This window comes from Homo sapiens, chromosome 19 (assembly GCF_000001405.40).
Source record: "Homo sapiens chromosome 19, GRCh38.p14 Primary Assembly".
Lineage (NCBI taxonomy): Eukaryota > Metazoa > Chordata > Mammalia > Primates > Hominidae > Homo > Homo sapiens.
In genome coordinates, this window is record NC_000019.10 from 49,397,155 (window position 1) to 49,417,331 (window position 20,177).

The window sequence follows — 20,177 nt, forward strand, 5'->3', positions numbered from 1 at the left end:
GGGGCCCAGGGAGGGCTGCAAGCAGAGGAGGGACTAGAGGCCAGAAGGCCAGAGAAGAGGCTCTGGTGAGGATCCAAGAGGAGAAAGCAAGGGCCGGGGCATGGAGACAGAGAGGAGGGGTGGAGCAGAGAGTCAGGGGCAGGAGGGAGAAGTCTGGGCTCTGCTGGACTGGGGGTGACAGGGAGCAAGGGAGCCAGGTCCGCCCAGTGGCTGAGTGGTCGGTGGGGGATCTGGGAAGGGGAAGGTGAAGTGCTGCCCAGTGTTGGGTGTAAAGAATGTGGGGAGTTAGGGTTATCTGGGAGATCCAGCCTGAGCTCAAGGTAGAAGACAAGCAAGAGGGCTTTACAGTGGGTATAACTGCAGCCCCAAAAGCCCATGAGATTCTCCAGAGCACAGGTGAGGGTGGAGGCAGATGGAGTCCAACCTCAGAGCCCTGGGGCACTTTACGTTTAAGGGTTCCAGGGAAGCCAACATTCTCTTGGCTCTCTCCCTCCAGGATGCCCAGAAGCTGAGGAGCCAGCCAACCTGGAGAGCTTCGGAGGCGAAGACCCCAGACCCGAGCTGTACCTATCCTCACACCCCTCCCTGACCCTCCTGCCCACACCCTGTCCCCTCCAGCCTGCCGAGGCCCGGGTAGGGCTTGGGATCCTTCAGGGAAATGAATGAGGGACGGGGCTTTGCTGAAAGTTCAGGGAGAGCAGAGGAGTCTCTCTCCTGTTTATCTTTCCCCAAAAGAGCCACATCTCCCCACCACCAGCACCTACCTCGACCCGGGGAAATGAGTCAGGGGCTGTGGACAGTGACCTGAACCCCTTCCTTGCCCCTAGACAAGCCACAGCTGACCTGCTGAGCAGCCTGGAGGACCTGGAGCTCAGCAACCGACGTCTGGTTGGGGAGAATGCCAAATTGCAGCGGAGCATGGAGACAGCTGAGGAGGGGTCAGCACGCCTTGGGGAGGAGATCTTGGCTCTGCGTAAGCAGCTTCACAGGTGGGCTGGATGCCACACCCACCCTCCCCAGCGCCCCTGCCTCCGTCCTCCCTGCAGCAGCCGGCCTCTATCTCCCATGCTCGTGTCTGCATCCTGCTCTTTGACTCTGTACCTGTCCTTTCTTTTCCCTTTTCTGTTTTTATCTTTTGTGTCTCTCTGATTCTTATCTCTCAGCCTCTGTTTTGGTCTTTTTATCTTTCCCTTGAGGGTTCAGACTTCTCTCTCTCTCTTTTTTTTTTTTTTGAGACAGGTTCTCACTCTGTCACCCAGGCTGGAGTGCAGTGGGGGTGATCACAGCTCACTGTACCCTCCGCCTCTGGGCTCTAGCGAGCCTCCCACCTCAGCTTCCCAAGTAGCTGGGACCACAGGCCCACCACCCTGCTTGGCTAATTTTGTTTTATTTTTTATAGAAATGAGTTCTCACTGTGTTGCCCATGCTGGTCTCAAACTCCTGGGCTCAAGCCATCCTCCCGCCTTATCCTCCCAAAGTGCTGGGAGTACAGGCCTGAGCCACTGCACCCAGCCTAGATTTCTCTCTTTATTCTTTAACTCTCTGATTCTTCATGTCACTCGCCCTTTCATCTCTCTGTGCTTTGTCATTCTTCATGTTTATCGTGGTCTCCCTGTTCTAGTCCCCCACTCTCTCTAGGTCTCTTTCCCACTTCCTCAGTCTTTTAGGTTAAAACTGGGTCTCTGTGCCCACACCAGGTCTCCTTCTCCTCTTTTCTCTCTGGGTCTCTGTCCTCCCCTCTCTCTGGGTCTCTGTCCCTGCCTACCACCTGGGATCTCTCTGTTGCTAGTGTCTCTCAGAATGGATCTGTCTCTGTGCTTCTCTGCCTTCCTCCCTCTCGTATGGCTCATCTGCCCCCACCCGCATTCAGCACCCAGCAGGCCCTGCAGTTTGCCAAGGCCATGGATGAGGAGCTGGAGGACCTGAAGACTCTGGCCAGGAGCCTGGAGGAACAGAATCGCAGCCTTCTGGCCCAAGCCCGGCAGGCGGTGGGTCTGGCCCAGGGGAAGGAAGGTGCCCTCTCTCTTCTTTGTTTCCTGGAGTCAGGGCGGCAGAGTGTGACTATGGAGTAGGAAGGGGCAGAGGTCACCTGGCTTTCTCCCTCTCTCCAGGCCCTGCTCACCCTAGACTTTTTCAAGCTTACCTGCCATCCTTCTCATGACAAAGGAGACAGCAGGAGCCATCAGGGCTTCCCAGACCCATTCCCCCAGGCCCTGGTTGTGTTTTCAGGGGTGGGAGAAGGGCAACATGGGGGCAAGGAGGCTAGAAATGAAACCTTTGTCCTCTCTCTGGGGTTGGTCAGGAAAAGGAGCAGCAGCATCTGGTGGCTGAGATGGAGACTCTGCAGGAGGAGGTGAGCGGAGGCCCAGCACCACCCCCACCCCTTCCCCAGTCCTTAAGGTCTTCTTGACACCACTCCCTTCTGCCCCCAACACCCCAGCAGCCTGTCTTGGGGAGACCTCAGAATGTCAGTAGTGTGGGAATGTCCCTGAGGTTATATCACACTGTGAGAACAGCCGTGGTTTACAAGAGTGTGAGGCATGGGGTCAGCCTACATGGCTTCAGGCTGAGGCCACCTACATAAGAGTGGACCAGTGCCTCCCTTCTCTGTGCCTCAGTTGCCTCACCTATAAAGATGAACAAAACAATGGCATCTGCCTCAGTGGTTTGTGTGAGACTTCAACCGAAGGATACTTGCAAAGTCTTGGGCACAAGGTAGGACACATAGGATGTGCTCACTAAAAGTTATCTAGCATTGTTTCTATATTAGTATTTTTTACAGTGAATAAAACAGCCAGGCACAGTGGCTCATGCCTGGAATCCCAGCACTTCGGGAGGCCTAGCTGGGTGGACCCCTTTAGCCTAGGAGTTCGAGACCATCCCGGGCAACATGGCAAAACCTTGCCTCTACAAAAAATAGAAAAATAAGCCAGGCATGGTAGTGTGCACCTGTAGTCCAGCCACTCAGGAGGCTGAGGTGGAAAGACTGCACGAGCCCGGGAGACAGAGGTTGCAGTGAGCCAAGATTGCATCATGGCATTCCAGCCTGGATGACAGAGCGAGAGCCTCTCAAAAAAAAAAAAAAAAAAAAAATTGGATTTGAAGTCAACCTTGAGTTCAAATCCCATCTCCGCCACTTACACAATAGGCAACCTTTAAGCATGTGACTTCTCCTTCTCAAGCCTTTACTTTTAGTTTCTTTTTTTTTTTTTTCTTTTTTTTTTTTTTGAGACAGAGTTTCATTCTTGTTGCCCAGGCTGGAGTGGAATGGCGCGATCTTACCTCATGGCAACCACCGTCTCCCGGTTCAAGTGATTCTTCTGCCTCAGCCTCCCAAGTAGCTGGGATTACAGGCATGTGCCACCACACCTGGCTAATTTTGTTTTTTTGTTGGTTGGTTGGTTTGTTTGTTTTAGTAGAGACGGGGTTTTTCCATGTTGGTCAGGCTGGTCTCAAACTCCCGACCTCAGGTGATCTGCCCACCTCAGCCTCCCAAAATGCTGGGATTACAGACATGAGCCACCACACCTGACCTACTTTTATTTTCAAAGAACTGGAAGAAGGGTATCTGTTCAGTAGGCTTGTTTTGAGGATTGACAGCATTTCACTGAGGGACTAGCAAACAATATGAAGAGACTGAGTTCAGCTTCACATTTAATTCAAGCCCCGTTCCATCCAAGACAGAAAAACATCATCTTAGTTCATTCTGGGCCCACCTAATTTTTTTTAGATTGAAACAAACTCATCAATTGACAATGAAACCTGTCACCACCCCCGACCTCAAGGTGGTATCTAAGTTGCAGGAGACTGATGCAGGAGCCTAGTGCTCTAGGAGGCTGCTGATCCTCACTCAATGTTTCTCCTCTCTGCTGTTCATGAGATTGATGGGTTTTGTCCAAGCGTTTGTCACCACTGTGTGCTGGCATCTACTGTGAGGCCCGCATTGCCTTTGGATCTCTGGACATACCATCTTCTTCATCTTCTGGTGGTGATCCCTTATCTGGGCTGGGACTCTTACTCCACCACTTCCACACCCTTCCAGAGCCAGGGAGGTGATTTGGCTACTTTCCTGTGAAAGGGAAGAGGCTGGGGTCACTGCCCAAAGCCCCTGCCTCATTTCCCCAGGCCAGGGTGGGTGCTCATGGTGGGGAGATGTGGCTTCTCTGGGGAAAGAGAAACAGGAGAGAGATTCCTCTGTTCTCCCTGAGCTGTTAGCAAAGTCCCTGTCCGTCACTCATTTCCCTGAAGGATCCCAAACCCCACCCAGGCCTTGACAGACTGGAGGACACAGGGCTGGGGTGGGCAGAGGTCTGGAGAGGACCCACCAGTGAGGCCTCTTTGCTTTCACAAGAAAGTAGCATCTCTATTATTCTCACACCGTGATGATTCTGAGAGTGCTCTGGGAAGTACACGCAAGGCCTCTCAGATCACAAGACTTCCAGGGCTCTGCGGTTCTCCATCCATACCCTCCACCCCTCATAGCTAGCCCTGGGTTAGGGGAAAACTCTGGGCTCATTTTCAGCCTATTCTCTTCTCTGTCTGTCCTGCATTCCTCCCCCAGCTCTAAGGATCTCTGCCTAGTCCAGACAGATCATGTATTCCCAAAAAATATCTTTGTCCTACATGTGCAGTGTTTTTTACACTGAAATCCAAAATCTTTCTGCTATTTTCTGGCTCTTCCATGAAAACTCACCCCCTTGGGGCAATGGGAATCTCACAGCAGGATGGCTGTACCATGTGAGACATGGAATGCAGCAGGATGTGACAGTTTCTTTCAGAACATCCCTTTTTAAGAATGAAAAAGTTGCCAGGCGCAGTGGCTCACGCCTGTAATCCCAGCACTTTGGGAGGCCGAGGTGGGTGGATCACCTGAGATCAGGAGTTCGAGACCAGCCTGGCCAACACGGTGAAGCCCCATCTCTACTAAAAATAAAAAAATCAGCCGGGTGTGGTGGCACACACCTGTAATCCCAGCTACTCGGGAGGCTGAGGCAGGAGAATCGCTTGAACCCAGGAGGCAGAGGTTGCAGTGAGCCAAGATGGTACCAGTGTACTCCAGTCTGGGCGACAGAGCAAGACTCAGTCTCAAAAAAAAAAGGAAAAGAAAAACTTTCCGGCTGGGCATGGTGGCTCACACCTGTAATCCCAACACTTTGGGAGGCCAAAGCAAGATTGCCTAGGCCAGGAGTTCGAGACCAACCTAGGCAACATAGTGAGAGCCCGTCTCTATAAAACAAAAAAAAACAAAAAAAGTAAATAAAAGAATGAAAGGCCAGGCACAGTGGCTCACGCTTGTAATCCCAGCATCTTGGGAGGCCGAGATGGGTGGATCATTTGAGGTCAGGAGTTCGAAACCAGCCTGACCAACATGGTGAAACCCCACCTCTACTAAAAATATAAAAATTAGCCAGGCGTGGTGGCAGGCGTCTGTAATCCCAGCTACTTGAGAGGCTGAGGCAGGAGAATCACTTGAACCCAGGAGGCAGAGGTTGCAGCGAGCTGAGATTGTGCCACCGCATTCTAGCCTGGGTGACAGAGCGAGACTCTGTCTCAAAAAAAATTTTTAAAAATGAAAAACTTTCCCTGAAGCCCCCTGGCAGAACTTCCTGCCTTACAGTTCATTGCCATTCAGCCATTATAACCAGACTACATGGATAATATGGCCACTAATGGGTCCAGAACGCTCCAGGGAAGAGAACAAAGAAATGATGACTTCAATCTACACGACATTCATTTCCTTAACCAGAGGTTTAGAAGAAGGTGGTCTCTGGGAAGAAGGTGGTCTCTGGGAAGAAGGTGGTCTCTGGGAGGTTTGGTGGCTCCCTGGCTGCCTGTGGCCTCATTATTGCAGATGACTGCAACAGCTTCAATCTCATGTTCTCATTCAAAGTAGGAAAACGTGGGGCAAAGGGGAGCCATGAGGCTGGGCGCGGTGGCTCACACCTGTAATCCCAGCACTGTGGGAGGCCGAGGCGGGCAGATCACAAGGTCAGGAGATCGAGACTATCCTGGCTAACATGGTGAAACCCCCGTCTCTACTAAAAATACAAAAAATAAATAAATAAATAATTAGTTGGGCATGGCGGCGGGCCGCTATAGTCCCAGCTACTCTGGAGGCTGAGGCAGGAGAATGTCGTGAACCCAGGAGGCGGAGCTTGCAGTGAGCCGAGATTGTGCCACTGCACTCAGCTTGGGCGACAGAGCAAGACTCTGTCTCAAAATAAAAAAAAAGGGGGGGGGCAGCCAGGAAATGCCCCTCTCGTGGCTCCTTTCATCAGAAGCCTCTCACCCCACCCCCAGCAGCTCTTACATCTCACTGGCCAGAACTGGCTGACATAACGCCCCCAGCTGCAAAGGAGCCCAGGAGAATATGTGACCTTTTTCAGCCTCTAGAGTGGCAGGTGAACAAGTGAGAAGGGGTGAGAATGGCTGCTGGCTTAGCTAACCAGCTGAGCTTCCTGCATCTGCCAAGATTTCCACCTTGACTCACTCCCATGGCTGGGGCTGGGACCCATCTGCCCTCAGACAGAGAGAGTAGATCCCTCGACAAAAGCAGAAGGAGTAAGCAGGGTAAATAGCAACCAGCAGTCTCATCTCTACCTCCTCCCCACCAGGAAGGCCTGCTGCCAGGTTGAGTGCCTTGAGCAGCATCTGGGACACCCTCGGCCCTCGATAAACTGGAGCTATTCTTGGTTCCCTCCCCTCTACCTTCCCCCTCCACACAGCTGCCTACAGAGCATCTATAGATTGAGTTCTCAAGTTACAGTAGAATAATGCTGGAGTAACAAGACACTCAGACACTGAAGATCCAGGCAGCCTTCCTGTGGAGAACCTACAGAGCTGTCTCAGGTTACTGCAGAAGGAGGCAGGAGCAGCTGAGTAACCAGGTTCCCTGCCGAGTGGCCCAGGATCTGGCCTGCAAATCCCTACCAGGTGGACAGATGTTGAGACAGCACTCCTTTCCCGTCCTTCCTCTGCCCTTCACCTGGCAGCCCAGGCCCACTGAGACAGAGGGAGAGCAGCTGATGGAGGACTTGGAGCTGGCTGGAGGGAGGGAGAGGCTGGCCTTGGTGTATCCCCTGGAGTGCCAAGAGGAGGGGCGTGGTGAAAGGGAACTCTGGACTGCCTCCATGCCCCAAAGTGCATTTCCCCAGTGACCACCTCGCTTTGAAACCCTGTGCAACTTGATAGGTTTTTGGTGCCCCTAAACTTTAGACTGGAATCTGGGCCATTTTATGTTCAGGTCCCATTTCATGGCTGGCATGGGCTGCCCTCTCCGGCCTATTGTTTTCCCAGCTAACTGCCCTCAGCCTTGAAGACTCAGCAACGCCTCCTCAGGAAGCCTGTTAGTGCTCCCATGGTACCCAGGCTGTAGGCCTCACCAGAGCCCACCTCGTGCATTGTTACCCGCTTCTGCATCCATCGCCACCTCTAGAGCCTAATTCCCTTTGTGTCCCATTCTCACCCAGGGCTGTGTCTGGCTCACATGAGAGTCTGAGGATTATAAACAGAATTTGGAATCACACAGATTTAGGTTTGAGTCCATTTACCATGTGACCTTGCCAAGTCTCTTAGCCTCTCTACTCCTTTATAAAATTGGAAATGATTATACTATTAATAGGGCAACCAGACTTGGCATTACTCCTGAATGGCACAATTTGATATGTATAGCACCACCCAATCTTGCCAAGAAATTGAACAACAGTCTGGACAAGGCCCTGGATCTACCTACCAGTTTATAAGAAATAATGATAGAGGAAAGTGGTGAACATAACCACAGGGAACAAGAGCGCAATCAGCCTAATCTGAACGCACCAATCCTACAGGACAAGGGACCTGCTTTCTTCCACAGAATGAGGGCCTGAAGAGTACCAGGGTCGGGGTGGAGGGGGCAGAAATTACTGTCAGATTAAAAGAAGTAAGACATTTCAACCAAAAGCAATGATGGACCTTGTTTGGACCCTCAATCAAAGTAAATGTAAAGAAATCTCTGAGACAACCAAAATGAAAAAGGAGCACAGGCCCGGTGCAGTGGCTCACCCCTGTAATCCCAGCACTTTGGGAGACCAAGAAGGGTGGATTACCTGAGGTCAGAAGGTCAAGACCACCCTGGCCAGCGTGGTGAAACCCCGTCTCTACTAAAAATACAAAAATTAGCCAGGTGTGATGGCGTGTGCCCGTAATCCCAGCTACTCTGGAGACTGAGGCAGGAGAATCGCTTGAACCTGGAAGGCGGAGGTTGCAGTGAGCCGAGATCACGCCATTGCACTCCAGCCTGGGCAACAAGAGTGAAACTCCTCTCAAAAAAAAAAAAAAAAAAGAAAGAAAAAGGAGCACAAACTTTCTAGTATGAGATGATACTGAGTTATTGTTAATTTTGTTAAGTATGATAGTGGTATTGTGGTTTTGCTAAAGGAAATAAGTCCTCAAGTAGGAGATAAATGCTGGAGTAACTACAGGTGAACTAATATGATGCCTGCAATTTGCTTTAAAGTAATCTACTTAAAACATCTGGAGGAGAGCCGGGTGCGGTGGCTCACACCTGTAGTCCCAGCACTTTGGGAGGTGGAGGCAGGTGGATCGCCTGAGGTCAGGAGTTCAAGACCAGCCTGGCCAACATAGTGAAACCCCGTCTCTACTAAAAATACAAAATTAGCTGAGCGTGGTGGCACATGCCTGTAATCCCAGCTACTTGGGAGGGTGAGGCAGGAGAATAACTTGAACCCGGGAGGCAGAGGTTGCAGTGAACCAAGATCATGCCATTGCATTCCAGCCTGGGCAACATGAGGGAAACTCCGTCTCAAAAAAAAAAAAAAAAAAAAAATTAGCTGGGTGTTGTGGCAGGTGGCTGTAATCCCAGCTACTAGGGAGGCTGAGGCAAGAGAATCACTTGAACCCAGAAGGCAAAGATTGCAGTGAACCAAGATCGCACCATTGCATGCCAGCCTGGGCAACAAAAGCAAAACTCTGGCTCAAAAAAAAAAAAAAAAAATCTGGAGGAGAAACATCTCAGTTTAAACAAAACCGAGAAAATGCATATAATTATTGAAGCTGGGTGATAGATAATGTGGATAACAGGCTGCTTATATTGTTCTTTTGATTTTAAAATTGGGGATAAGAAATGAGTCAACACATGCAAAATGCTCAGTAAGTGTTAGCGATTATTAACCTATCTAATCTTTACAGCAATCCCATAAAGTAGGTCCTAGTTAAGCTCCGTTTTTTTGTTGTTGTTTTTTCCTGAGACAGTCTCGCTCTGTCGCCCAGGCTGGAGTGCAGTGGGGCGATCTTGGCTCACTGCAACCTCCGTCTTCCCAGTTCAAGTATTTCTCCTGCCTCAGCCTCCTGAGTAGCTGGGATTACAGGCACGCACTACCATGCCCAGCTAATTTTTTTATTTTTAGTAGAGACGGGGTTTCACCATGTTGGCCAGGCTGGTCTTGAACTCCTGACCTTGTGATCCGCCCGCCTCAGCCTCCCAAAGTGCTGGGATTACAGGCGTGAGCCACTGCGCGTGGCCTAGCTCCATTTTTATAGATGGGGGAGCCACACTCAAAGAAATTAAAGCTGTGGTCCCACTGGAATGGTTGGAGGAATTAAATGGGTTAAAACATATGAAGTGCTTAGCATGAGGCCTGATGTATATCAATCAAGTGTTTAGCAAATATCTGCTGTTAATTTTGACATTACCACTTGCTGGAATGAACGTGACCAGCCATTCCTTCTTCTAGAACGGGAAGCTGCTTGCCGAGCGGGATGGAGTGAAAAAGAGAAGTCAGGAGCTGGCCATGGAGAAGGACACTTTGAAGGTGCCACTCCTTCCTAGTGCCTGACAACTTTCCACCACCCCGGGGCCATTTTTCCCATTTCCGGTTTTAGTGACTGCAGCCTGATAAGGGCAGGGTCTTCCATCAAGCTGTCAGGCTCCCAGGACCACCCAGGCATCCCTAAAATCCCTGAAGTCCTGGAACATCTCAGGAGGCTGAATACGTGGGGGTGCGAGAGAACAGGTGGGGCCAGGTGGAGGGCAGGACCAAGGGGAGTCCTGGGAGGCTGGATGGATGGACCGGCTCCTTTCTTGGCAGCGGCAGCTCTTTGAGTGTGAACACCTCATTTGCCAAAGAGACACCATCCTCTCTGAGGTAAGGGGCCCCGGGAGGGAAAGAGATTCGCTTTCCATGTGCACCAGCCACTTCCTGCCCCTGGTCTAGAAAGGGAAGTCCTACTTGGGTCTGATCCTTGGATGTGCAGCTGGAGAGACTGGAGGGTTTCCCCAGGTCCCAAGTGTGACCCCTCAGGGATCTAGAAGCCCTTCTGCCCGGTGCTCTCCCTTGTGCCCCAGCTCTTCCCTCAAGCTCACCCTGTCCCTTAACCCCCCAGCCAGTCCCCCCGCCACCACCACCCCCAGTGTCTTTGGGGAACTGGTCCCAGTCTCATTTGGCTTTCGGCTTTCCTAGCGCACTCGCGATGTGGAGAGCCTGGCCCAGACCCTGGAAGAATACAGAGTGACGACGCAGGTAACTCAGCGGCCCTCGCCACCCACCGCGGCCCTCGCCACTTCTCTTTTGCCATCTCTGGGACTTGCTGCCTCTCCTCCTCGTGCCTCTTTGTCAGTGGCCACATCTTGCTTCTTCCATCCTTGATGTATGACTGTATGACTGCATGTCTCCCCCTCTGTTTCTGTATCTGCCTTTTCACTTTTTCTCTGTTCCTTCCATTCACTTTCATTCTCTGTGGGTGTCTTCTCACACACCTCCTCTCCTTATCTTATTTTTTTTTTGAGACGGAGTCTTGCTCTGTCGCTAGGCTGGAGTGCAGTGGCACAATCTCGGCTCACTGCAACCTCTGCCTCCCAGGTTCAAGCGATTGTCCTGCCTCAGCTTCCCAAATAGCTGGGACTACAGGTGCATGCCAGCATGCCCAGCTAATTTTTGTGTTTTTAGTAGAGACGGGGTTTCACCATGTTGGCCAGGATGGTCTTGATCTCTTGACCTCGTAATCCACCCCTCTTGGCCTCCCAAAGTGCTGGGATTACAGACGTGAGCCACCACACCCAGCCTCCCCTCCTTATCTTTATGTGTCTCTGCGAGGCTCGTGTGGGTTCCTGTCTCTGCCTCTAGGTCTAGGCTGTCTGTCTCCCTAGGCAAGTCTTCTCTGTTTGGCTCTGGTCTTTACCAGTCTCTTAGCCCTCATGTTTCTCTTGCCTGTCTGTGAGTCTGTTTCCATCTATGTCTCATTTTTTCATGCATCTCTGCCTCTGCCTTCCTTCTTTTAATTGTCTTGGCTGTGCTTTTTTTTTTTCTTTCTTTTTTGAGATGGAGTCTGGCTGTGTCACCCAGGCTGGAGTGCAGTGGTGCAATCTCGGCTCACTGCAACCTCCACCTCCTGGGTTCAAGCGATTCTCCTGCCTCAGCCTCCCAAGTAGCTGGGACTACAAGCGTGTGCCACCATGCCCGGCTAATTTTTTGTATTTTTAGTAGAGACATGGTTTCACCCTGTCAGCCAGGATGGTCTCGATCTCCTGACCTTGTGATCTGCCCGCCTGGGCCTCCTGAAGTGCTGGGATTACAGGCATGAGCCACTGCGCCTGGCCTCTTGGCCTGTGCTTTAGCTTCTGGATTCCTGTTGCTCTCTCTCTTTGGCTTCCTAACATTCTGTCATGGCTTTCTTCCCCTTGTCCCTAGGCAGTATGTGTCTGGGGAGCCCAAAGTAGTCAGGAAAGGGGAAAGAACCCTGGAAGAGGAGCCCAGAGGTGGATGGGAGGGTGGGAAAAATGCAGAGCCAAATGTGCTCCCCACTTCCTCCTTTGCAGGAACTGAGGCTGGAGATTTCACGCCTGGAGGAGCAGCTGAGTCAGACCTATGAGGGGCCCGATGAGTGAGTGGAATTTCAAGGGGTAGGAGGAGGCAGGAGGGGAGCCTAAGGGCAGGGACACCCTGGCCTCCAGCCCCAAGGTGGGCAGGGAAGGGAGGCCAGCATGAGCTGACTGAGTGGCCACCAGGCACAGAGGCCATCTTCCTCCCTCCTTCCTGTGTGGCCAGGCTACCTGAAGGGGCCCAGCTGAGAAGAGTGGGCTGGACCGAGCTGCTACCCCCATCGCTGGGCTTGGAGATCGAGGCCATTCGACAGGTGGGCCTAACACCCCTGGAATAAGCTGCAGGCCACCAAGGCAGAATCTCCAAACATCTCCCTACTCTGATCCTCACACCAGCCTAGCCCTAACCCACATTGCTGCCAGAGGCTCCTATCGCAACCTTAGCTTTTCTCTAACTCTCTCTACCTCGGATCCTAACCCCAAACCCACTGCCAGACCCAGGCCTGTGCCAGACCCCAGTCTGATCCAGCTTTGACTCACCCCTATCTCGTCTCCCTCCATGACCATCTCACTCCTTAACTTCATCTCGAACCTAGACCTTGGTCCTGGCACCAAATCCTCCCCTGTTCCTGCTTCTGCCCACTCCCCAACCCCAGCCCCACACCAGCCCTTTTCTATCTCTCATCCTATTTTCAGCCGCACACCTAAACCTATTTCTATCTCTGACCTTGTTTTCTACCTTAATATGGCTCTCCCTGACCTCGGAAACAACTTCTGTCCCAGAAACAGGAAGTGGCAACTGCTGATCTCTCCAACCCTCTGTGTGGGGTGTGGCAGTGGGAGGAAGTCATCCATGAGACCAGTGAGGAAACTGAGTTTCCATCTGAAGCCCCAGCTGGGGGACAGGTGAGCACAGGAAAAGCTCTGAAGTCCAGGAGCTGGAAAGGGGCCAGGAGCTCCAGGTGCCGCCCTGGCCAGCCCATTCACTCACACTTTTGCTTGTTCCCCATTTGATGAGAAAATGTTAATTGAGGGCCCAGTGTGTGCTGGACACCCAGCCACAAGCCAGACCAGACACCACCCCTACCCCAGGGACTGACCTGCCAGCGTTGTAGACAAAGGTGAACCAAGCAAACACACAAGTTGCACTGTGGCTTTTATTGTTGGTTTGTTTTTTAGAAAACACTCTTGGGAATTACATTATTTAAAATCGTACTACTGTAGGAAGGGAATAAGTAAGTTGTTTATTCCAGCATTTTAAGGATATATTAAGCATTTATGTTTCAAATGTTAGCACCTTTAAGAAAAGCCAGCAAGCTCACTATGACATCTTTAACTCAGCAATAACCATTGGGGTTTTTTTTGTTTTTTGTTTTTAGAGACAGGATCTTGTCTTATTCTGTTGCCAAGGCTGGAGTGAACTTGACTCACTGCAGCCTCAATCTCCTGGATAAGCAATCCTCCCACCTCAGCCTCCCAAGTAGCTGGGATTACAGGAACACACCACCATGACTGGCTTTTTTTTTTTTTTTGAGATGGAGTCTCACTCTGTCACCCAGGCTGGAGTGCAGTGGCACGATCTCAGCTCACTGCAACCTCCACCTCCCAGGTTCAAGCAGTTCTCCCTGCCTCAGCCTCCCAAGCAGCTGGGATTACAGGAACCTGCTGCCACACCTGGCTAATTTTTGTATTTTTTTTAGTAGAGACGGGGTTTCGCCATGTTGGCCAGGCTGGTCTTGAACTCCTGATCTTAGGTGATCTGCCCGCCTCGGCCTCCGAAAGTGCTGGGATTACAGGCATGAGCCACCATGCCCAGCCTTTTTAAAATTTTTTTATAGAGTTGAGATCTCACTGTGTTGTCCAGACTGGTCTCAAACTCCTGGGCTCAAACTGTCCTCCTACCTCAGCCTCCCAAAGTGCTGGGATTACAAGCATGAGCCACTGCACCTGGCTTTTTTTTTTTTAATTAATTAATTTATTTTGAGACGGTCTCACTCGCTTCTCTGTTGCCCCGGCTGGGGTGCAGTGGCATTATCACAGCTCACTGCAGCCTCAATCTCCCTGGACTCAGGTGATCCTCCCATCTCAGCCTCCCAAGTAGCTGCAACCACAGGCATGTGCCACCATGTGTAGCTAAATTTTCTATTTTTTGTAGAAATGAGGTCTCCCTGTGTTGCCCAGTCTGGCTGAACTCCTGGGGTCAAGTGATCCGCCTACCTCAGTCTCCTAGAGTGCTGGGATTACAGGCATGAGCCACTGCTCTGGGCTCTCTCTCTATTTTTTTTTTTTCTTTTAAAGAAAATGTTGTAAACAGCTCTATAAACAAGCTGTATTGTCTTGAGAACTGCACCACTTCAAAGCTCTTTGCCATCCTTAAGGAGAGACTCATTTCTCTGATCACTTTTTCCCTGGTTTGAGAAAAGCTTTTGTTTCTCTTTGACACCAGAGCTTGTTTGGGTTCTCATTTAACTCTCCCAGTATCTCTGTAAGGCAGGCATCCTCATCTTGTTACTCATGGGAAACTGAGGCTCAGGGAGAAATCACATGCCAATGGTCACACAGCTTGTTGGGGACAGAGCCTCATCCCTCAGAAGTGTAGGTTAGATTGGGCTTCTGCTTTGAGCTGTCAGATGCCCCTGAGAGACAGGCTTGTCAAGGGGAAGACTGAGCCAGGCCTCAGAGTGCAACCTGCGATGGGCCCAGGGATACAGAGCTGAGTCCCTTGGGGCCGGGCCTCTCAGTGCTCAAGGCCTGATAGGAGAGACCCTGCAAATGGGTTGCCCCAGTGCAGAATGATCATTGTGCTAGAGGTGGGGGATGGGCCTGTGGGAGCCCAGAGAAGGGGTATCTGTGTCAGGTCAGAGATTGGGGAAGATATTGAAGGAAAACTGATACTTGAGTGGAAGGAAGGAAGGAAGGAAGGATGGAAGGAGGGAGGGAGGGAAGGAGGGAAGGAAGGAAGGAAGGAAGGAAGGAAGGAAGGAAGGAAGGAAGGAAGGAAGGAAAGAAGGAAGCCAGCCTTTGAGGCACTAGCACAGCCTGTGCAAGGCCTTGGCATAAAATCACGATATGCTTGAGGAGTAGAGGGTAACTAGGGGTGACTAGTGAGAGATGAGGCCAGGGCCAGATCATGAAAGGAAATCTCTGACAAGCTAACAGATTGTACTTTTCTTCATAAAGCCACAAGAAGGGTGGGGTCAGCTCCGGGCTTAAAAAGATCCCTCTGGAACCATGTGAGGGACCTACTGGAGGCAGGGAGGAGGCTGGAGCAATGGTGATGAAGCCTGAGCCAGGCCAGGGCCCTAGGGATGGAGGAAAAGGGACAGACAGACATAATTGGGGTGGAGGGACAGAGCAGGGGTCAGACGGGATGTGGGTGATGGGGAGGGAGGAAAGGAGGCAAGACTTGGAACTTGTGACCTTGTGAGGTGAAATCTTGAGGGATGTCTGGGGGCTGCCTGGAAGAGTTGGGTGCACCATCCTGGAGCTCGAGGATTGCGTTTAGAAAACAATGGCAAGTTGGTTGCTGAGGTCAAGGGCAATGCCAATATGTCTCTGGAGAAACCGAGAGGTACTTGGGTCCTGAGGGAGAGCAGATAGATCCAGCCCAAGTCTGGGAACCTGGGATGAGAAGGCGGTTGGACAGGGAAATGCTGATCTCCTCTGGGACCCAGATAAGTGTACGAGATCTGTGGAACATCCAGGAAGTTTAGGCAACCGGGACTCCTGGGTCCTGTCAGGGAAGGGGGCTTGGTGGCATCGAGAACAACCCTTTGGTTTTTGGCTTCTGCCCTTAGGGGGCTAATAGGGCCATCCTCATGTAGGGCAGCACGAGAGGAGGGCAGGTTGTAGAAGGTGGTGAATTCATGTGTAGGTTGCAGCCTGGAAGACCTTTTGTATATGGGGTCTGGGACCGGCGGGGGAGACAGTGGGCACTGTTAGGGTTGGAGCTTTGAGTGAGAAGAATCAGAGAAGAACTAACCTTTTTGTTTCCACAGAGAAACTTCCAGGGAGAGCCAGCGCACCCTGAAGAAGGAAGGAAGGAGCCATCCATGTGGTAAGGAGCTGAGCCATCCGTCTGCCTCAGGGTGACACCTTATTCACAGCTGTTTACAGTAGGAGGACTGGATGTGCCCTGAGGGGATCGGCATTCATTCATTCACTCCTTCTTCATGTCTTCCGGGAGCAGAACCTGGGCCTGTAGGCCAGGAGATGAGGCCTGGCCCTGCCCTCAGGTCTAGGAGGAGATCTGGTTCCTGACCCTGCCTTGGGGGAGGGCTCCCAGCGAGGCTGCCATGCCTGAATGGGGTGAGGGGGGGCCTCTGGAATCAGCGTGGATTCAGATTCCAGCTCAGGTACTTTGCAGTCAGGCTGGTGTAAGCATTTGGTTGTATGCCGTGAAGTCCCAGCCCTGTGATTGGGATGTGATTGTTAGGAGGCTGTGTCCAGGCCTCTGAGGATGGAGAACGCACTAGATGACTGGGCCCACCCTCCTCCGGGGCCCTGGCCTTCGGGCCTCTGGTTTCCTGTGTTGCTTCCCTCTCCCCCTCCCCTCTTTCAGGCTCCCAGCTGCGGCTACTAATGAGGCTGCCTGCCAAGGCCTCTAATTGGACTTGTCTGGGAAGAGCTGAGATTGGGCGGGATGGGAGCTCTGGAGCTATGACCTCCCTCTGCGTCACCAGAGAAAGGAGGGGAGAAGGGGCTGAGCAGTAGTGGAAGTGGGGGAGGCAGGTGCCATGCGAGTTTCCAGAGGTCAGGGGCAGTTTGATCCGCAGGTTGGAAAGCTGGGAGTGAGGAAGGTGGTGAATACAACGGCTCCTAAATGTAGCCAGCTGTGAGGGCTTGGACCTTGAGAGGGGTTGGGTCCCAAGTAGAAGTTTCAGGGGATCAGATAGTGTATGTCTGACTGGGGCCTAAGAGCCTGGATCCTTTATCGCGTGGGAGCACAGCTGTATTCCTGAGGGTATCTCTGAGGGTTTTGGGTCTGAAGCTGGTGGTGGTGGCAACTGCAGGGCTGGATCTCTGGTCCCCAGTGAAGGCAGTGGCTGGTGGTATGGATGGCTGGGTCTCTAAGGGGCATTCAGGCTGGGCAGCTTGAGGCCTGAGTCCCCAAAGCAGCATTTCAGGGACTCAGATGGCTGTGACCCTAGGAGGGGCCTCCCTAGGAGCCTCCCGCCGAGGCAGGGTCAGGAGCCAGATCTCCTCCTAGACCGAGACTCGCTGAGGGAAGGGTCAGGTCTCATCTCCTGGCCTACAGGCCCAGGGTCTACTCCCGGAAGATGGGAATGAATGAGGGGCATGCTAACCCCTCAGGGCTCTTCCAGTCCTCCTGGAAGAGGGTCTTGCACCTAAGAGGATTCGGCATGGGGAAGAGCTCCAACAGTTGAGTTCTGTGGGCTGGGAGGTCTGAGTTGGAGTCCCAGTCCTCAGAGAGCACCCAGTGACAGTCATTGAAAAATGGCTCAACCCACTAGACAGGAAGGGGGTTTCGACACGTGCTCTGGGGTCTTACAGAGGCCTGAATCTCTGGTATTTTGGAGGGTGAGAGAGCCAGAAGCCTCAGTTCCCAGCTGGGGGATCTGCTGGGGAAGTAGTGGCTGAGAAAACCAATCTGAGATGAAGAGGCCCCCTTATTCTTTTAGTGGTTCACAGACCCTTTGGGTAATTTGGTGAAAATTCCTGTGAAAAATACATATGCAGGACACCCCCCAGGCCCGTCCGTGCTGCCTGGCCTCCCCCAGGCCCGTCCGTGCTGCCTGGCCTCCCCCAGGCCCGTCCGTGCTGCCTGGCCTCCCCCAGGCCCGTCCGTGCTGCCTGGCCTCCCCCAGGCCCGTCCGTGCTGCCTGGCCTCCCCCAGGCCCGTCCGTGCTGCCTGGCCTGTGCTAAGACCCCCTGCTCCAAGGCTTCTCTCCCAGCCCATAGTAGGCAAAGGGAACCAGGGAGAAGAGGACGAAGCCAGCAGTGACTTTGTTGGCCCTCAGGTTGACCAGAAGAGAGGAAGAGGAGGATGCAGAGAGCCAGGTCACGGTAGGCAGTCCCCAGCACCCCTCCCCAGTCCCCATCCACTCCACACCCACAGAGGCTGAGTCGTTTCAACTCTTCCCAAGCCCCAGCCTCACACTCCAACTCCTCAGGAGCAGAGAGAAAAATCATTTGGCCAAGAGATAACAAGGCCTTTGCTGTAGCTAATGAGAGCGATGGTGAGGTGGGGGGAGGCCTGGAGGCTAGTGGGCGGCCAGGCTGCTCCCAGGGGACCCTCCCAGCCACACACACAGGGCTGCAGCCACCACACCGCAGGCCTCATAGACGTGGCTACACCCCCGGATTGCATAAATGCACACGCACATGCGCCCACACTCGGGAGAGGTTGGGCCGGCCCTCCCCAGCCAGCCTCAGAACTCCCTGGGGGCGTAGTGCCCGCAGCCCCCCTGCCTGCAGCCACACAGGCCAGTTCCTCTGCTCCTCAGAGCCCAGTGCCCGGTGGGGGTTAAGATTTCCATTCTCAGGCAAGGACGGGGAAAGAAACTTGGTAAGGAGAGGTGAGGAGCCCTCAGTTGTGAGCTGAGGAATGCAGGAGCTGGGCTGGAGTCTGCCTGTTGTGGGTCAGGCACTGTCAGGGCCCCTGGGGCTCTTCAGGGTCCAAACCGGCCAAGATGGCTGCCTCCAGGACACTCAGCTCCCAGCACCCTGGCCCCGAAGCCCACCTCCTTCAACATACTACACTCCCTTGCAGAGACTGGGGCTCCACCTCAGCTTCCTCACAGCTCACATGGGCATAATCTCTTCCTTGCTCCCAGGGTGGGGAGGAGGGTTAAGGACTATGTCATAAAGGGCCTGGGTCCCTGCCTGGCACAGCAGGTGGTAGAGGTGAAGATATTGATTGTGATTGGTGTTCTGTTTTTATTTACTGCCATTATCATTGTCATTCATCATCCTCATCTGTGTTAAAAAGGTATGGGGGTAGGAAAGCCAAAGACCCATAGAGGGGAGGCCCTTCCGGGGAGACATGGGGGATGAGGCGGTGCAGTGGGTGGGGCCTGGCCCTGGAGGAACAGCTGGGGCTTTGATCTTTGAATCCTCAGATGAAGTGTTGGAATTAATCAGTGAATTTAGTGTGGTTGCTGGGTGAAAGATCAAAATAAAAAATCATATTTCAGTATAGCAACCATGAGCAATTAGAAAAATAAATTTGTAATTATACCATTTATAATGGCATGGTGTTTTGTTTTTGGTTTTTGTTTTGAGATGGAGTCTTGCTCTGTCGCCAGGCTGGAGTGCAGTGGTGCGATCTCGGCTCACTGCAAGCTCCACCTCCCAGGTTCACACCATTCTCCTGCCTCAGCCTCCCAAGTAGCTGGGATTACAGGCACGTGCTACCATGCCCGGCTAATTTTTGTATTTTTAGTAGAGACGGAGTTTCGCCATGTTGGCCAGGTTGGTCTCCATGTCCTGACCTTGTGATCCGCCCGCTTCAGCCTCCCAAAGTGCCGGGATTACAGGCATGAGCCACTGCACCTGGCCTGTAATGGCATGTTTTTAATTAGTAAAGCGCCTGCCGATTCTGGCATAGGCAGGAAGACAGGATTCTTCATGAGGCCCAGCACAGGGGTGGGCACCTGTAGAAGATGTGGTCTCTGCCCTCAGAGAGCTTAGATACTTCCAGAATCCAATGGAAAACGGAGGTGATGATATTGAATAGCTCACACAGACATTGAGCACTCACTATGTACCAGGCGCTGTCCAAGCTATTGCCCCCGCCTTTTTTTTCCTACATTCACTCATTTAGTCTCCATGTTAACCCTATGAGGTGGGGACATCCCTGGCCAGCAGATGGGGAAAGAGCGGCACGGAGAGGTGTGGTGACATGCCAAGGACCCTCAGCCAGAAGCTGGCAGAAATGGGAACCCGACCTGGCAGCAGAAGTGCACTCACTTATCTCCTGAGCTCCACCACTTTCTATGTGGCCACTTGTGTCCAGTGGGCTGACCTGAGCACCTCTCAGTCCAGAACCCGGTGCCTCCAACGCATCTCTTCTGTCCTTGCAGGCTGATCTCCCTGTCCCTCTAGGAGCCCCTCGCCCTGGAGACATCCCAGAAAACCCTCCAGAGAGGTAATAGGACCCACAGGGTCCAGGAGGGACACTGGGGCAAGGAAAAACCCAGTGGTGATTCCCTCCTTCACCCCAGCAGACCTGCGCGGCGGGAACTCCAGCAAGCCCTGGTGCCTGTGATGAAAAAGCTGGTCCCAGTCAGGAGGAGGGCCTGGGGCCAGCTCTGCCTGCCCCCACAGCGGCTCAGGTGTGCCCCCAGGCGTCTCCAGAAGGAAGGAGGTGGTCTGACATTGGGAAGAGCAGGGGCTGCCC

At 52.7% G+C, this 20,177-nt stretch overlaps 1 protein-coding gene and 1 long non-coding RNA gene across 10 annotated transcripts in view, besides 3 other annotated features; one reads left to right on the plus strand and one right to left on the minus strand.

The window, feature by feature from the left end:
- KASH5 (KASH domain containing 5) overlaps window positions 1-20,177 on the plus strand; it is a 29,742-nt gene that overhangs the window by 8,906 nt on the left and 659 nt on the right. For 6 of the 9 annotated variants that reach the window (XM_011526489.4, XM_011526495.3, XM_011526494.3 and 3 more), the window contains 14 exons: window positions 497-563; window positions 828-989; window positions 1,871-1,988; window positions 2,303-2,353; window positions 9,732-9,809; window positions 10,086-10,142; window positions 10,458-10,517; window positions 11,813-11,877; window positions 12,042-12,129; window positions 12,599-12,721; window positions 15,814-15,872; window positions 17,797-17,842; window positions 19,861-19,925; window positions 20,002-20,112. In XM_011526489.4, coding sequence (XP_011524791.1) covers window positions 497-563; window positions 828-989; window positions 1,871-1,988; window positions 2,303-2,353; window positions 9,732-9,809; window positions 10,086-10,142; window positions 10,458-10,517; window positions 11,813-11,877; window positions 12,042-12,129; window positions 12,599-12,721; window positions 15,814-15,872; window positions 17,797-17,842; window positions 19,861-19,925; window positions 20,002-20,112 — 1,150 coding nt within the window. The remainder of the gene's footprint in view (window positions 1-496; window positions 564-827; window positions 990-1,870; window positions 1,989-2,302; window positions 2,354-9,731; window positions 9,810-10,085; window positions 10,143-10,457; window positions 10,518-11,812; window positions 11,878-12,041; window positions 12,130-12,598; window positions 12,722-15,813; window positions 15,873-17,796; window positions 17,843-19,860; window positions 19,926-20,001; window positions 20,113-20,177) is intronic. The other 3 variants (NM_144688.5, XM_011526490.3, XM_005258549.4) reach the window with 3 other exon arrangements.
- Window positions 11,818-11,867: an enhancer, noted in NCBI's record as "active region_14937". NCBI's record gives its function as "activates an Ori minimal core promoter by ATAC-STARR-seq in GM12878 lymphoblastoid cells {active_cell/tissue: GM12878}" and the evidence as "EXISTENCE:reporter gene assay evidence [ECO:0000049][PMID:35858748]".
- Window positions 15,798-19,004, minus strand: LOC124904740 (uncharacterized). The gene is made up of 2 exons (XR_007067289.1): window positions 18,520-19,004; window positions 15,798-15,950 (listed from the first exon to the last, which is right to left on the minus strand). It is a non-coding gene; the product is annotated as an uncharacterized LOC124904740 (long non-coding RNA).
- Window positions 17,672-18,226: an enhancer, noted in NCBI's record as "H3K27ac-H3K4me1 hESC enhancer chr19:49918083-49918637 (GRCh37/hg19 assembly coordinates)". NCBI's record gives its function as "activates a minimal SCP1, AML or CMV promoter by ChIP-STARR-seq in naive H9 embryonic stem cells {active_cell/tissue: H9 hESC(naive)}" and the evidence as "EXISTENCE:reporter gene assay evidence [ECO:0000049][PMID:30033119]".
- Window positions 18,227-18,780: an enhancer, noted in NCBI's record as "H3K27ac-H3K4me1 hESC enhancer chr19:49918638-49919191 (GRCh37/hg19 assembly coordinates)". NCBI's record gives its function as "activates a minimal SCP1, AML or CMV promoter by ChIP-STARR-seq in naive H9 embryonic stem cells {active_cell/tissue: H9 hESC(naive)}" and the evidence as "EXISTENCE:reporter gene assay evidence [ECO:0000049][PMID:30033119]".